General features: G+C 59.5%; 2 annotated features.

The window, feature by feature from the left end:
- Window positions 1,110-1,739: an enhancer, noted in NCBI's record as "H3K4me1 hESC enhancer chr18:46517299-46517928 (GRCh37/hg19 assembly coordinates)". NCBI's record gives its function as "activates a minimal SCP1, AML or CMV promoter by ChIP-STARR-seq in naive H9 embryonic stem cells {active_cell/tissue: H9 hESC(naive)}" and the evidence as "EXISTENCE:reporter gene assay evidence [ECO:0000049][PMID:30033119]".
- Window positions 1,446-1,594: a silencer, noted in NCBI's record as "fragment chr18:46517444-46517592 (GRCh37/hg19 assembly coordinates)". NCBI's record gives its function as "represses an EF-1alpha promoter that drives an FKBP-Casp9 reporter gene in an ReSE screen in K562 erythroleukemia cells {active_cell/tissue: K562}" and the evidence as "EXISTENCE:reporter gene assay evidence [ECO:0000049][PMID:32094911]".

The following is a 3,010-nucleotide window of genomic DNA, read 5'->3' as shown; positions in this document are numbered from 1 at the left end:
GTTTGGGTGAAGTCACTCCTTGGAGAATGTGGAGCGAGGACAGTACTGAGGCCAGTCCCCAGGGGACCCACATTTGGGGCAAGTGGCAGGGGAGACTGAGGAGTCCACTGAGAGGACAGTTGGGGGAGTGGGGAGTGTTCTAGAAGATGAGGCAGGAGGCAGAGGAGGGGACGGTCCATGGCATCAACATCACCCAGAGAGGGCCTGAAAAGCGGCCACTGGATGACAGCAAATGAGGCTGGAGGCCATGAAGAGGCCTGTTCAGTGAAGAAGGGGACACCCCAGCTGGCCTGGCCTGCAGACTGGCCCTTCCAGCAATTGCCACACTTCCTCCTGCCAGGAACATGGTTGCCGCGATAGTGCCAGGCGGGGGACACCATCCGGCCAGTGCTGGACAAGGAGAGGGGAGGAGCCAGACCCATGCCCTCCTCCATGTCTGACCCGAGCTTGAGGCTGTGGGGCAGGTATGAGGTGAGCCTCTATTCCTGCCGGAGCAGAAGCTGCCACCTTACTGTGGGTCTGCACTGGGTGGCCAGCATGAGGTGCCCGGGTAAGGCGGCTGGCCCTCGCCTGCAGGACAGACCAGCTGTGACAGTCATCTTCCTGGGTGAGCTGGGTGTTAGCAGTGTGGGGAAAAGGCGTTGGAGAAGGTGCCTTCCCTGGAGACAGGTTAGGCCCTGAGGCAGAGTCCTGAGCAGCCTACACCCCAGACCAATTAAATCCGAGCCTCTGCTGCGAGTCTCGGCCCCAGTGTTTGTGAAAGCTCCCCAGGTGATTCAACCCCTCCAGGGCTGAAAACCGCCAGTCTAGGGAGAGAAAACCCAGGTGTAGGGCTCTGTGAGCGCTTTAGATCGGAGCAAAGCAGCAGCACTGAAGCAACAGAACCCAGGAAGAGGCTGAACTCAGATGGGCAGGGCCGGCTGCACAGCAAGGTCAGCCTCCCTTCCAAGGGGCTCCTTCCTTCTCCCTCCGGTCCTCGAGGCCCTGGTGTTGTTTTCCTCCAGGAAGGGTCATCCCCACCCCACCTTTAGCCCCCGTCTTAACCCAGCAAGATCCTCTGGAGCTCCTCCCTCCCCTGCCACCCTACCCCACCGTTTCTGGGAAACTGCCCCGGGCAGGCTCCTGAGTGGTCATCCCCGGACTCTCTGCATTGGTGAAGCTCACAGCCCAGTGCCAGCCCACGCCCCAAACTGAGGCCCCTCTCCAGTGTCAGGGAGGTGGAGGACTGCCTGAGGCCCCTCAACCTACATCTGTCCTTGGACCCAGAGCATGGAGAGAGGGCAGCCCACCAGGGTCACTGACCTCAGAGCCCAGACTTTTGCTCTGAGCTGGGGAGGGTCCCAGGCTTGGCAGGGTTGGGGCTCAGGAGGAATTGGGGGAGGGCCCGAGTCAGTGTGGTCCCTCCTTCCTGGAGGAGAGCTCTTGGAGGCCAGGCGAGAGTTCTGCTTCTGGGAATTAGGAATGAAGAGGTCCTGTCTGGAGACCAGGTCAGAATCCCATCCAGCCTCAGGGCAGGGTGGCCCCAGCACCCCTCCCATCATTCCTGGGATGAACTCCCGGAGTGGCGTGACCCTGATGTGACATGCCGAGCTCTCCCTGGCCTCCTTCATAACAGGTTCTGCAGGGACAGACTGACCTAATCTCCTCCTGGGGTAGGACTGAGGATGCCACAGACCAGAGGTGAGGCGACCTTCACAGGGTCGCGCAGCACCTGGTGGTCTGGTCAGTTCTAGAATCCCGGACTCCAGAGGCCTGCTCCTGTGGACTTTCCAAACACTGCCATGACTCACTAATGGTGACACATACCGAGCATGGCCTGTGTGCCCTGCCCCCTCTTGGAAGCTCACTGAGGGGAGAGTGTGGGTGTGCAGCCCTTTGCTACCAGGGAGCCCACAGCATGGGTGTGGACACCCCTTCTCGCACACACACAAAAACCCCAAAAGCCTCAAGGCAGCAGTGTCTCTGCTAAGCCTCGTGGCTCAGACTGGACCTGGGATGGGGACAGGTAGGGTCTGGGTGAGCAGTGTGGCAGGCAGAGGGTGCAGGAGGGTGAGTAGGAGACCAGCTGAACACATATGTGGACAGGCGGGGAGGCTCCCAGTCACGAGGCCGAGCCTCACTGTGCAGGAGGGAAGCTCACTCTCTCTCTCCAGCTGTGGGGCTGGATGGAGCAGGGACAGGGAGGGGCCCAGGACAGTGGAGGGTCTCTCAGGCTGTGTCCAGGCTGGGTTTTCTCCCTCCCTACCCCTCCCTCCTTCCTGCCCATTGCTGTATGAGAGGGCACCCAGGCATTCGCTTTTAGAGTTGTCTTTAGGGTTGTGGAAATGGAGAGAAATCAGGGCCTGGTAGGAAGGATGGGGGCAGGAGGCTCTGCACAGCAGTGTCAAGAATTCAGGAATCAAGTCACTGGGAGAAATGTGGCTTCTCTCTGGCCCCAGCCCCTCACTGGGGTCTTAAGCTCCCAGCCCTCGCCAGCCACCTCCTCCCTCATCCAAGTTAAACGAGCCTGGAGTTGGATAAGAATTCCAGGCCAGGACCTTTGGGAAGTAGAAACCGCCAATCTTATCCACTGGGCTCTGAGGAATTTGGCAGGGCCAGGAGGAAGGGGCTCCACGGACTGGGCTGGACACCCCAGCCTATCTCCCCCACCCTGGAGCAGGGGGCGCGCTCATTATTAATAGCCCCACAATAAACCCCAGCGATAAGGCTCTCCTCTTCCCACCACGCAGATAGTTCTTCCAGTTCAGAACAAAGAAACAGAGAACAAACAGCCAGGTTTCGTGGAGGGGTTTTGTCCATAGAACAAATCTCTGGGTTGATGCCACAGCGCACGGCCAAAGAGGTCTCACATCTTGGTCTGCCTGACCTGCCAGGGGATTCTCTTTGCTGTACAGAAGAAGCGCCCATGCAACCTCACCTCGGCTCCTCTGTTCAGCTGTCCCTCTCCCTGCCAGCTGAAAGCTAACCCAGGCCTGGCAGCCAGTTCCAATAAGGCCTCCCCTATAGCCCC

Source organism: Homo sapiens, chromosome 18 (assembly GCF_000001405.40).
Source record: "Homo sapiens chromosome 18, GRCh38.p14 Primary Assembly".
Taxonomy (NCBI): Eukaryota; Metazoa; Chordata; class Mammalia; order Primates; family Hominidae; genus Homo; species Homo sapiens.
Note: the sequence above shows the minus strand (reverse complement) of the source record. Positions and strands in the feature narration are given on the sequence as shown.